Source organism: Homo sapiens, chromosome 4 (assembly GCF_000001405.40).
Source record: "Homo sapiens chromosome 4, GRCh38.p14 Primary Assembly".
In the NCBI taxonomy this organism is placed as follows: Eukaryota; Metazoa; Chordata; class Mammalia; order Primates; family Hominidae; genus Homo; species Homo sapiens.
The window spans coordinates 89,617,195-89,629,459 of NC_000004.12; the positions used below are offsets into that span (position 1 = coordinate 89,617,195).

Consider the following 12,265-nt stretch of genomic DNA (forward strand, 5'->3'; position numbering starts at 1 on the left):
AAGGATTAAACAAGATAATATACGTAAAGTGCTTCTCTTGGTATCTCCCACACAGTAAATGCTCAATAAAGGTTAGCTGTTGTCATTTCTATTTATGTATCATCTTGAAGCACTTGGGAATACTAATGAATAGAACAGAATTCAGTCTTACTTTTTAAGTTCAAGAAATACCTATGTTGTTCTGGTTCAACTAGCAAAGGTTAAATAATTACTAGATTGGAGCTGCTTGAAGAAGCATGTGACTCATGTTTTCTGGTCTGGTAGCCAGGAGTTTGGCTGCAGGTTTTTCTTATTAGCCGCTGCAAATTGTGCTGTGCGTAATATGATGGGGCCCATGCTGATTTGGATGCTTAGTGTGTGCTTGTGCACGTGAAGGGAATAATGCTGTCTTCTCTAAGATGAAAGGCAAAATTAGCTTTTGCATTGGAGTTTGCATTATAAAGAATAGTACAACTGTTCACCCTGCCTCTTATTCCAGGCATATGTTAAGTGGGTGATTAAATATCTCTATTTCTAGTCCTAGTGCAATTTTTAATGTCTATTCTTTTCTTCACATAGTTCAAGTTGTGAGAGTCATATGTTTACCTTAAAATGTAAACAATGATTAATTACTTGCCAGTAAATGTACTGTGGTAATAGAAATACAATAAATGCAAATTAATGCTGGTTATTCACTTTATGCCTAATCTAATGGTGTTGAAAAGGCTAAATTCGCAGGCCTTGTTGCTTACCTTCATAGAATTTACATATAGTGTTCCTGAAAAAGCACTTATAAAGTATACATTTTTTTCTCTTTTAATTTTCCGTAAATTTAATGATGGCTGCCTGAAAAAAAAATGTATACTATTCTGGCACAGAAGTTACCACTGAAATGAGTAGAAATGAAGATTTTTGAAACTGGATATTAGGTTCTTGAGCCATTTTGTTGCCCTGTTACCTAAAAGGGTACCCTGTTCCTAGTGAGGCAAATAAAAATATCTGTTTATTATGATGATGATGTACCACTCAATAGCTATTTTCAGGTTGGTTGATTGATACAGCTCTGACCCTTATGAAATTCCTTAGCAATAGAGCCCAGAGCACGGCTTGACTCCCTCCTGGGAGCTGTGGTTATTAGGAACAGCGGCTCTTTTCAGTTCAGTTGCTAAATATTTCATCTACTTTCAGAAAATCAGACTAGAACACAGTTCACTGCTCTTCAAGCAGTATAGGCTCTTACCATGCCTTCAGGGATGCTAAACTGCTACTGCTGTGGGGATTGTGGCATTTCAAAGGGATATTAAGACATAACATATTACATTATATGGTAGCAATGGGCCACTTCTCATTTCTTTTTTAAATAAAAAGAATGTGAAAGTGAAGAAAATGTGAGTATATCCCTAGAAGTAAAACTATATCTTTCTGATAAAATATCCCTAGTAAATTCAGAATGAGGAAAAGATGAATGTTTTGGCACTCTGGATAAATGGCTAATCTTTGTGAAAAACCTAATTATGGCAACCTAATGAAATACATTTGTAATACCAGGTAGACAAAGCCAATGAGATTTATATCAGATTTTCTCACCCTGATTCAGCAGAAGAAAAATATTAGTTCTGCTTGTGACTCTGGTTCCATTCCAGCACTTGGTAGATACTATTGGTTTCTGTTCTAAGAACTATGCAGGTTTATCTTGTGATAAAGAGAAGTAGACACAGCTATAACAAAACAAAAGGTAAAACACAACTACTCCCACAGGTCTGTTTTCCTGTGTTTTCATTTTTGTAGAATTTCTGCAGTGGAACTCTATTTTGTCTTCACTAAAGATCAGTCCTCCTGTAGGCAACGTCTACTGCTATCTAATGATCCATGTACTCTTTTAAGATGTCTCTCCTTTTTGCTGAATTGAAGCAATCCTTTCAGGATGAACAATTTTTATTTTATATGACTTAACTTCATTTGCTTCTAACTTTGAATTTACGTAATATTTCTTGTGAACAAAATCATCACACTGAAAAGGGTAGAAACCATTTTGGGAGGGCCCTCAAGTGTAGAGCAAGTTCTCCCACATCAGGCTCTGCTCACTCCTTTCTTTTCTCTCTTTAGGGACTTCAGCCTGGGCTTTTTCTAAATGATTGGCTTTCATTACTTAAAGGGTCAAAGAGATGCCTCTTCTCATCACCGCCAGAAAAGCTTCTGCTCTGTGCTCACAGCTTTCATTTCTTTGAAGCCTCTGTGCACTGTTTCCACTTGACCAAAACCACAGGGAGTTCAATTATCAAAGAATCACTCCCTTCTGAGAATTCTTAAAGAAAAACACTTCCATTCTGAGATAAGACAGCAAATGCAATAAGTTCCCCATTCACTGTGTAGGATGCTAAACAATGTCAAATTGAATTCTCTGTAGTGGGAAGTTTGGAGTGGATTTTTTTCAGCTACAGAATGGTCAGGGCACATCCATATAATGTCAGTGGGGGCAATATTGCTAATCCATCCTTGTGTCACCTCTGGGACAATTCTGAATGCCAGAATGACTTCTTCCTCTGCCCAGGACATTATTGAGCCACTCTCATGGCTCTGCATTGGCACACTCCAATGCTTCCTGTCAGCAGGGCTAATGTCTTATTAAAAAGGGGTGAGTGGAGGAGGGTGTATCTTGTGATGCAGCATACCATAGTTGTTAAGATCAACACTTATTGAAAAAAATATGCTTTGAAATGACACTTGGGGATCTTCTTTACTAATACAGAGATTTATATTTCAATAGAATTTTGAAAATTAAAGAAGAAAAAGACACTATGATTTGTTCAAGGTCCATTATATGTCAGGCATTTGTTGTCTCATTTAATCATAACCACAGTCCTGTAAGGTAGATATTTGTGTTTCACTCTTTATGAAGGAGAAAAGGGCTCCAATGAACTAAAAACCTTGCCCAATATCACAAGAATCAGTGTTTGAACCCAGGACTCCCAGATTACTCATTCTGTGTGCATTTCACTGACCTGCTCACTTACACTAACATTTTAGTGGTAGGAAAATAAATCTGTCTTATAAAATCTAGACATTACAAAACCAGATTCTTGGTTACTGTATGCAGATCTGAAAATACAAGAACCCAAAATCTGTAGGTGAGAGTACTATGTTTATTGTTCTGTGAAGAATACAATTAAAGTTGAGGACACAGACCAAAGAGTAAAGTTGATTCTCAGGATATTCCCAGGAGTGTGGCTAAATAATAAATGAGAATCACTTCTTTGATTTTTTTTTTAGGAAATATGGCTATGTGTTTAATGTTCTAATTTAGTACTTAGAATAAGAGTACGCATATACACACACATGCACACACATACACTTTAAAGGGACACAACATATAGAATGTTGTCCATTCCAGTATCTCCAAACTCCAACTCAAAATGAGTTGTAGCTATGAATGTGGAGTCTAAATTCTGCCTATTGGATCATCCTGATGCCAGCATTTACTAGACGAATGACTTTGGGAAAATTATATAGGCATCTTACCATGGGTTTTCTCTTGTATTAAACCATTACTATGGTTTTCTTGTCGCATTAATAGTAATGCAAAAACCACAATTACCTTTGCACAAACCTAATATGAAGTAGAGGTAAAAATATCTAACTCATGTGGATGTATATCAGATAGAATGCATGTGTTTTGAACAACAGAAATCTCAACTAAAAATGATAATTTTACCCTCATGGAACTGAATATTCCAACAATTGATCTGGTTTGAGGTGTGGTTTCACTCAGGACTCAAACAAGGTCATCAGAATCCACTTCCAGAATCTGGTTCCTTTCCATTTTGGCTCCAAAAACAGGCATACAGTGGGCTTCTGGCAAATATTAACTACAGCAGTTTCAAGCTCCAAATCCTTATGTCCAGTGAAGAACATGTGAATCTATGCACTAGAATTTCCAGAGCAAATATTAAGGCTCATTCTTATTCAACTAGCTTACATTATATACTTATCCCTAAATCAATTACTGTGACCAGTTGATAAGATACTCTGGTTTTAGCTATAACATTCTTAATAGAGGACTGGGCTGAATAGCATATAGAGGGTATTTAAACTTATAGGTTTGGATACAATCACTATGGAAGTGTAGTGTCAAACCAAATAACAGACAAAAGAAGCTCTTTAAAAGAAAATAATATTTATTTGGATATGAGCATCGAAATGGGAATGTGTGTGCCATAGTAAACTATGTGGGTATTCTGGGTGATAAAGACAAAGTTTAAAAAAAATAAGGAAGATTGCATAATTGTTTTGAGATAATTATCCTGGACTACAAGGATCAATAATAACAAGGGTTGTGCCAGTTGGAGATTGGACAGGCAGTTGCTGGGCAGATATTCTTGCAGAAATATTTTTTGTGTAAGGTTGAGATGGCCTTTGTGCAAGGTTGTCATTTTTAAGTCTTTTGTGATAGTTCTTATTATCAGACATTCATGCATGAGAAGCCTCTCTTCATGGCTTTCCCCAGCTTCATTTGTCAGAGCTTTTAACACAAGTGATTCCATTTTGATTCTGACAACTTTCATAGTAGATAGAGAAGAAAGAAGGCCCAGAATTTGAGAATTATAACAATTTAATATTAAAAGGTTGAGAGAAGAAAAACCACAAGAGGAAACCAAGAAAGAGTAATCAATGAGGTAGGATAAAAACCAAGAGGAAATGTTATCCTCAAAGCCAATTCAATCACTTATAGGAGGACAGAATGACTAACTGACTGAAATACTACTGATACATTAAGCAAGAGCAGGACCTACATCTAAGAAGTAACGAGATCCTTGATGACTTTGATAACAATGATTTCTGTGATGTGGTGCGAGCAAATGTCTGATTGCCATGGGTTTATAGAAAAGAGAGGAGAGAAACTGGAAAAATAGAACTTTCAAGAGGTTTGTTGCAAAAAAGGGGCAAAGAAACGGGAGCTGGTGAAATGGGTGGAGTAATGAAAAGTTTTCTCTAAGATGAGATAAGTAACATTATATTTCAATGATGGTAAGAATATTTGGTAATGACTAAAAAGTTATTGATGAAGGAGGGAGGGGAAAACTACTAAAGTGACATCCTAAAGGAGGTGAGAGGAGATGGGATGCAGTAGAGGGATGGGCTTTGGATAGAAGCATGGACAGGTCACCTGAAGTAGCTGGATAGAAGGGTGGGTGGCAGGTCCTGATAGGTAGGTGGCTAGATGTCATGGTGGGAATCTGGTGAAGGCGCCTATGGTTGCTCCAGGTTTCTTTGTGAAGTAAGAAGAAAGGTCATAAGCTGAGAGTGAGAATGGGGAAAGAGGTATTGGGGATTTTCAGAGAGGGGAGAAATCATAAAATGTATATATATTTTTTAGGACAATGGGAGACTGAATGGACACAGGGGATGTAGAAGATGATTATTGAGCAGCATTTTAAGGGCCTATAGGTAGCTATTTTCATGAATTTAAAATGAGATCTATCAGCTTACTTGTTTGTTTTTCCCCAGCTACATCTAATTTCTTAAGTACAGGCATAGCGTTAGAAAAGAGTTAGATTTACCCAGGGCTGTGGTATCAGCACTATAATGAAGTGGAAAAGAGGTGACTGAATCAGGGAGTGAGGGGATTTCATGTCACCTTTTTGGCTTAAACTTCTGACTTCTCTTACTAAAATTACTGCAACAATTTCCTAAATGACATCTTTGCCTTAACCCCGCTCCTATTACATTCCTTCTCAGCATTAGAGCCAGAATTATTTTTCTGAAGAACAAATGTGAGATTGCTGTCTTCTTTAAAACTCTTTAATAGTTACCCACTGTCATAAAGTCCAAAACTTCTTAACATAGTTTCTATGGACCTTTTTGATCTGGCCTTTGCTTAGTTTTTAAGCCCTATTTCTTTCCATTTCCTCTTCACATTCTTGAATTCAGCCAAAATTAATGGATTTTAATTCCATGCTCTTTCTAGCTTCTGGAACAATCTTCTCTTATGTTCACATTCTTTTCTTGGGTAACTCCCATTTGCCCTTCAGGACTCAGCTTAAAACATTGATTCATTGGCTGGGCACGGTGGCTCACGCCTGTAATCCCAGCACTTTGGAAGGCCGAGGCGGGCGGATCACAAGGTCAGGAGATCGAGACCATCCTGGCTAACACGGTGAAACCCCGTCTCTACTAAAAATACAAAAAATTAGCCGAGCGCGGTGGCGGGCGCCTGTAGTCCCAGCTGCTCAGGCGGCTGAGGCAGGAGAATGGCGTGAACCCGGGAGGCGGAGCTTGCAGTGAGCCGAGATAGGCCACTACAGTCCGGCCTGGGCGAAAGAGCGAGACTCCGTCTCTAAAAAACGAACAAACAAAAAACAAAACAAACAAACAAAAAAAACATTGATTCATCCAGGTGGTCTTCTCTGCAATCCCAAGACTGTTTGTGGTCCTCCATTCTTGTTGGCTTTTACTCAAAAGATTTCCTTCGAAGAATGTTTTTGCCCTATTTAAAAATGAAAAAAAAAAACTTGGAATAATACTAATCTAGATTCTAGATTAATCTTTTCATTTCACAGGTTCAAATCCATAGGTAAATAGTGGGAGAGCCAATTATCTCAGCAGCCTCAATTCGTTTTTCTTTCATTCCAGTTTCTTTCCACTCATATAACTGTGATCACTCCCCTGACTGCTGCAGTTTCTTTATTCTCAAAGATTCACACTTACAGAGTGCATGGTACCATACCTAGACCTCTAACAAGCAGGATCATAGCTGCTTTCAAAGAACTTCTAAACTCACAGGGAGAGAGTTATCAACTAATAATTATTACCTCATGGGAGCGGCGCAATATTAGGGATATGCATAATGTGTGCCTAATTTCTAATTCTGGTTTATTGCTGATTATTTTCTTGTGTGTTGATTACATTGATCAAACCGTAAATTCTTTGCATGCAAAGTGCATCTTTGTTTTTTTGTGTGTCTTTCATCATTTCTGCTTAATGTCTAGGATCGGGTCTGCCTCCTACCAGGACCTTAATAAAACTTACTGATAGAATGGCACTAATTCACTGCTTTCTAGTTCCCGTAAAGCAATGAATGTTTGGCCATACCAAGCAAGGAATGTAAAGAAATTTCTGAATCAGATTGCCTCTAATCCTATTAAAAATGATAAAAATTATATTGAAGAATGTCCAACTTAAAAGAGATAGTGATATAATACTAATAATTTCTAACACTGAGCCATGTGCTCCCCAAAGTACTTTATTTATACTACTTAATTTAATGGTCACAATGAACCAATTCTGTCATTATTCTTATTATCACTACCATTTTACAAATGAAGATACTAAAGCACAGAGACTTTGAAGAACCTTTTAAAATCACATGGCCAAAAAATTATGGAGCTGGGATTTTAACCCAGGCAATCTGACTTACATGCACATATTTGATAAAGTTACTGATCTCCTTCAGGTTCCGGTTAGCAGACCAGAACTTCTTTTCAGGCCCTGTTTTTTCAAAAACTTACTTTGTCTTAGGCAGGAGGATTATATCTGGTGTATATATATAATAGTATATTATACATACTACAGTCATGTCTGATTAGAGACATTTCCTTATATTCTGAGCAGCACTCACAGTTTTACCACTGTTGGTATTAAAATGATTACAATGCATGTGATCATTTACATTTTCTGAAGCTGATAATGAAATTAGAAAATTTGAAAATCAGACTTTTTTTCCTGGGAGAACTGAAAAGAATAATTGAATCGGAACAATTGAAAACCTGATTAATCTGCATAAAATGCAATTGAGTATTTTCCCCAAATAAAACTATTACAAATTTAAAATGCTTTCTGCATCATGAGGTCAGTCTGTTATGCAGTGATTAATAAATAAGGCAATTTGTTTTCCATCACGCAGAAGCTAATATTAGATAACCTGTACTCATAAGCAGACAGGCTACTTTAAGCTTTCCTTTCAGAACTGGGCCAACTCTCCAGAGAACCCAGACTCCCTTATTTGGAGGTAGATCTATAAATTGACTGATACTCACACATACCAAAAAGGCTCTTGGGAAGGCCTTTGAGAAGGTCAACCCCCCACAGGCTACTCACTAAAAGATAAATGAAGGAAAACAGCTTTTATTAGACATTTACTTTTTTGGATGAAGGTAGAAGTTCATGCTCACATATAGGATCTTCTTATAGCATACTATAGTCACACCTAGAATCCTGCTCTACTTACAGTATACTATCCTATATTCATGAATTTAGGCTTAGGATTCATGGTTCTGCTGTTAGGATAGCCCTATGCTACATATTTTCCTGAAATATTTAAGGTGTCTTAGAGGTGTTTCAGATGTTTTAAACAGCTACCCTGGCCTTTCAGTCAGCTAAAGGGCAAATGGAAAGCACTATTGCCACTGATAAAGAAAAAAGACCTAGAATATAAAGATGATAAAGATTTTTAAAGAACAAATGGCAACTTAACAAGACAAGCAGTGGTCAAATGTGCAAGAAAATCAGTAAAAAGCTATTGCTTTTTGAAACATCAGAGAAGTTCCTGCTTTAAAGTCTTAATCTTGTTAAGATAAGAATTTGTCAATCAGCTCAGTGGGAAAATTGGATTATACTTTGACCCATGGTTGGATGAGTTGCAGATTATCTTTCAGGACAAGAAATTAAATAAAACTAAATTCAATAAATTCAATTCTTCCTTGATGTAGGACATAAATATTCTCTAGCCACCATCTTTTTTTTCTTTTCTTTTCTTTTTTTTTTTTTAACCAAAAAAGATAAAATGCTGCTTATACAAAGACTTTCTCCAGGGAATGAGCAAAGTCACTCTCCAGGAAAACTAGATAAATAAATAAAATAAATTCCTCTACCCAGTTGTCTGAGGCATTCAAACCAGAGTGACTCCATTTTGAATGAGGGCTAGGAAAATTAGGTTGAGACCTGCTGGGCTGCATTCCCAGAAAGTTAGGCATTCCTAGCCTCTAGATGTTTATGGTTAAGGGAACAAATTAATAATGCTTACTAAACAGACCCAGACTTGGGAGTGTCCAGATATCCCCATATCTGAAGAAAAAAGGCATTCCTAATTTTGCTTTAAAGATAATAATATCGATTCTTGCAAAATATAGTGGTTAAGAAAATTAATCCTTTATCACAAACCCTTGTAACAGAGCACATCTCCCCATATAAACAAGCATTGTACCCATGGTGAACATGTTCCTCCTCTTACTTTCGGGAACATCCTACTCTGTCTGTGGAGTAGCTGTTCTTTCAATACTTTACTCTCTTAATAAACTTGCTTTTACTTTGCTCTGCAGACTCGCCCTGGATTCTTTCTTCCTCAAGATCCAAGAACCCTCTCTTGGGGTCTGGATTGGGACCCCTTTCCTGTAACACAATTATTGCTTAAAATCTTTCCACTATTGATGTTTTCTTCCCTCAGTTATAGTCCCTTGCATTTACATAGTCTTTTTTATTTTTCAGTCACTCTTATAGACATTGGTGATTGTCTGCTTAAAGGCTATTTCCCTCTTCTTCTTACTAATGAAACTCTTCTGTTTTTAGGTGTTAGTATTCCTTTCCCTGAAGGTATGCTTCAAGGAAGGCTGGCCTTTGCCACAGGACAGAAATCTTGATAACCCAATTATGCTTTTTTAGATAATTATGGCTTGACTAAGCCAATGTCGGTAATTCCATTGCCTACTGACCAGAATGGGTTAAGAAGTACCATGTGACCTAATTCAGGCCACTGGAGACCTAATTCTCCAATGAAACATAAGGAGATGGCTAAGGATTCAGAAAAAGATTTTTTAGATCTTAAATGATACACAAGGATTTGTTTTATTTTCCCTCTTTTTTTCACCTCTGGACATTGCTGTTTATGCATGTACTGCTATACCCATTTTGAGCCCCGTGATAAGAGCTGGCTGACAAAATGAGAATAGCAGAATGGAAAATAAATCTTTGAGTACTGATTTATTTTTTCTTTTTTCTTTTTTTTTTTTTTGAGACGGAGTCTCGCTCTGTCGCCCAGGTCGGACTGCGGACTGCAGTGGCGCAATCTCGGCTCACTGCAAGCTCCGCTTCCCGGGTTCACGCCATTCTCCTGCCTCAGCCTCCCCAGTAGCTGGGACTACAGGCGCCCGCCACCGTGCCCGGCTAATTTTTTGTATTTTTAGTAGAGACGGGGTTTCACCTTGTTAGCCAGGATGGTCTCGATCTCCTGACCTCATGATCCACCCGCCTCGGCCTCCCAAAGTGCTGGGATTACAGGCGTGAGCCACCGCACCCGGCCTGATTTATTTTTTCAAAAGAAATCAAATTTCATCAAAACAATTTGAAATGACAGGATGAAGAAATAAAATCAATGTTTATTGATAGACATAAAAAAGAATTTTTCAAGTGGTTTTCAGGGTTAAAAGAGAAACTACACAATGTCAGAACAAGCCTAGGAAACACATTTCTTCATCCTTTCTGGCACACAGTAGGTCCTGTTGGGGCTCAGAACTGTATTCCCCAAAGACTGGCAGTTGGATGTGATGAAAGGCATTGGAAGCTGCCACAGAATCAAGGTCCTTCTAACCTCGTCTCATCTCTTCCCTTCTCTCCAAGCACAAGGAAGGACTTTCTGGAATCTACTTATCTGACCAAGAAAGCTTCTTTCCAAAAGAAATGCAATTGTCTTGAGACTTCTTCCCTAGGGATCTGATCAACTAACCAGAAAAGAGCAACCACCAGAGAAGAGACTGTGAGTTAAAACCCCACCCCAGAGACTTTTTATCTATTCTTCTGAGGGCAGCTCCAAGAGTTTACCTGGGGAACTCTATCTGCATAATAAGGGTACCTTTGCTCCTATGCAGCACTGTCCCTCACCTTTCCATAAGGTTTGTCTCCCACTTCCCAGGTTTATACATCTCTCTTCTATGAAGAGAATATTTAAGCCCAATCACCTGGCTCCTCTTCAAGTTCATATTTTGTCTGGCTCCCATGAACACTTGTGCATGTAATAGTAATGAATTTGTTCTCCTTTTCCCTTGTTAGCCTGTTTTATATTATAGGGATGTTTGCTATAACCTTTTACAATGGGGAGAAAAAAGATCATCCCATGTCTGCCCCTATAATTTTAAATATATCAACAATTAGATTCTTGTTTATCCTTTTTGTTTTGGTATTTTGTTGTATCTGGGTGCCCTGTAAATGTTTGATACTCTTGCTTTCCACATAGAAGAGTCTTCTGAGTTAGGTCAGTGCTGTTGGATTGTAGTCAGTGGAGAATGTGTCAGTCAGGAATGTGCATAAAAGCACCTTCCTACCTCTCCCTCTTCATCTTCTATGATTCCTCATACCCATTTGAATCTTTAGCTAAACACCACCAGTATATTTCTTTGACACTGATATCCTCTCTTCTGCTTCAGTGCCATTGTCTATTGTACGTGACTTAACCCTAAGCTACCTCTGCTGCTACTATCAGTGGATGTAGCCTTCAAGTGTTATTCATGGGATTTGTGGAGCTACTGAACAATAGAAAAATCTGTTGTCAACTCTGATTACAAGAATGTAATGATTCTTCCTAAAATAAAAGGAGAAATCTTTCTCTTTAGCAACATGGGAGAAGATGAAAACAAAAATACAGCTACTGTTCTGAACAAAGAGAAGAAAAGCCATTTCAAGGGTTAACAAGTAAAGTTTTTATTCAGCAAGCAATTTCAGAGCAGATGGGTTGGGAGAGGATAAAGGAAGAAAGCAAAGTCTTTGTAGAAACCATTTGGTTAAGACTTAGTTCTTGAAACAAACTGAACAATAGCAGGGACTCAACAGTAAGTCTTCTAACAGGATGAAATGAGGCTCCATCACAGACAGCATACGTTTGTATACTGGAGTGCACCAGGAGAAGCAGAACTTGGAAGATATGGTTTCTCACAGCTTCCTTAACTCAGAGGGTGATTTCAATAATTCTCAAAAAGTTCTTGCTGGCTGGGTGCAGTGGCTCACACCTGTAATCCCAGCACTTTGGGAGGCCATGGCCGGCCTCCCAAATGTCAGGAGTTCAAGTCCATCCTGGCCAACATGGTGAAACCCTGTCCCTACTAAAAATACAAAAAGTAGCTGGGCATGGTGGTGGGCACCTGTGATCCCAGCTACTTGGGAGGCTGAGCCAGGAGAATTGCTTAACCGGGACCCCGGAGGCGGAGGTTGCAGTGAGCCGAGATCACACCACTGCACTCCAGCCTGGGCTATAGAGCAAGACTCCATCTCAACAACAACAAAAAAAAGTTCTTGCCGTGTTCAC

The 12,265-nt window shown here is 38.1% G+C and overlaps 1 long non-coding RNA gene across 3 annotated transcripts in view; it reads left to right on the top strand.

The window, feature by feature from the left end:
- Positions 1-12,265, top strand: part of LOC105377329 (uncharacterized) — a 94,057-nt gene that overhangs the window by 65,805 nt on the left and 15,987 nt on the right. For 2 of the 3 annotated variants that reach the window (XR_007058469.1, XR_007058468.1), the window contains exon 3: positions 10,588-10,723. This is a non-coding gene — a long non-coding RNA (uncharacterized LOC105377329). Of the gene's footprint in view, positions 1-10,587; positions 10,724-11,390; positions 11,987-12,265 lie in introns of those variants that run through there. The other variant, XR_007058467.1, reaches the window with a different exon arrangement.